Source organism: Homo sapiens, chromosome 7 (assembly GCF_000001405.40).
Source record: "Homo sapiens chromosome 7, GRCh38.p14 Primary Assembly".
NCBI lineage: Eukaryota > Metazoa > Chordata > Mammalia > Primates > Hominidae > Homo > Homo sapiens.
This window is the reverse complement of record NC_000007.14, coordinates 65,080,115-65,081,728: the sequence shown is the minus strand read 5'-3', so window position 1 is coordinate 65,081,728 and position 1,614 is coordinate 65,080,115. Positions and strand designations below refer to the sequence as shown.

Below are 1,614 nucleotides of genomic sequence, written 5' to 3'. Positions count from 1 at the left end.
TATTTTTTTATACAGGGTTTACCTCAGTCTCGCAGGCAGGAGTGCTGTGGTGAGATCACAGATCATTGGAGCCTTGAATCTTGGGGTTCAAGTAGCTGGGAGGCTGAGGTTGGACTACAGAGGTGGGGTTGCGCCATATTGCTAGGCTGCTCTTGGCCTGAAGGGATCCTCCTTCCTGGCCACGCCCGGACACATAGTTTTCCATTTTTGACCGACATAAATACTGTGCTGGGTGGGAGTTTGTCAACTACCCCTTTCCAGCCAGCAACACACAGGAACTGGCGGGGAGGTCGCGGTTACCAGGCTCCACTCTGAGAAGACTGCCCAGCTCCAGGCACTGTACAGCCCTTGTGACGTGACAGAAGGCCCGCCCCTGTGACGTCACCGAAGGCGCCCCCCAAGATGTCGCAAAGGCCCGCCCCTCACGCAGAGCCAATCGGAACTCCAGGTGCTGGGTCTTCCAGGAGAGCGCCTGCGCGGGAGGGTGACCACAGGCGGCCGGGCGGGATGTCCTGTCCGCCGTCTTCAGCCCAGCCGCCACCACCCATAAGCTATGAGGAGGAGTTTACGACCACCTGGACTACTACCACCTGCGTGACTTCCCGGCCTGAGGGGTCCGCGCAGCAAAGGCCTGACGCTGCTGGAGCAGGCGCTGCGCACCTACCGGCTGGCGCCTGGTAGGCACGAGTGCAGGGTCGCCCAGAAGCTCCTCAATGGCCGGCGCAAGTGCCAGCCAGCGCCAGCTGCAGCCCTGGCCGCGCACTCGCCTCAGCTGAGCCTGGGTATGTGCACCCCCCAACACTTCCCCCAGCCATGTTCCCGGGACCTCGGGAGCGTCCCCCACCGCCCGGTGCCATTCGTGCTGGGCAGGGTCGGCCCCCTTTGAGGCTGCCCCGCGTTAGGGAGCTGCACCGCACCCCCACCAGCTTGACCTCTGACTGCCGTTGCAATAGCATTAAAGCCTTTGGAACTTTGTAGGTGGGTAGAAGGGGCTAGGAAACGAAGAAAACATCTTTTTAAAAATTTATATAAGGGACTGGCCGGGTGCGGTGGCTCACACCTGTAATCCCAGCACTTTAGGAGGCCGAGTGGGTGGATCACCAGGTCAGGAGTTGAAGACCAGCCTGGCCAGCATGGTGAAACCCCGTCTCTACTAAAAATACAAAAATTAGCTAGGCGTGGTGGCGGGCGCCTGTAATCCCAGCTACTCGGGAGGCTGAGGCAGAGAATTGCTTGAACCCGGGAGGTGGAGGTTGCAGTGAGCCGAGATCGCGCCATTGCACTCCAGCCTGGGCAACAAGAGCAAAACTCCGTCTCTAAATAAATAAATAAGATTTTCAAGGCGAGGCATGGTGGGTCACACCTAAATAAGTAAATAAATAAATAAAATGGATTTTCGGCTGGGCATGGTGGCTCACGCCTGTAATCCCAGCACTTTGGGAGGCCGAGGCGGGCGGTTCATGAGGTCAGGAGATCGAGACCATCCTGGCTAACACGGTGAAACCCCGTCTCTACTGAAAATACACACAAAAAAAAATTACCCAGGCGTGATGGCGCGCGCCTGTAGTCCCAGCTACTGGGAAGGCTGAGGCAGGAGAATGGCGTGAACCCGGG

The 1,614-nt window shown here is 58.2% G+C and overlaps 1 annotated feature.

Annotated features, from left to right (window-relative positions):
- Window positions 240-1,134: an enhancer, noted in NCBI's record as "H3K27ac-H3K4me1 hESC enhancer chr7:64540973-64541867 (GRCh37/hg19 assembly coordinates)". NCBI's record gives its function as "activates a minimal SCP1, AML or CMV promoter by ChIP-STARR-seq in primed H9 embryonic stem cells {active_cell/tissue: H9 hESC(primed)}" and the evidence as "EXISTENCE:reporter gene assay evidence [ECO:0000049][PMID:30033119]".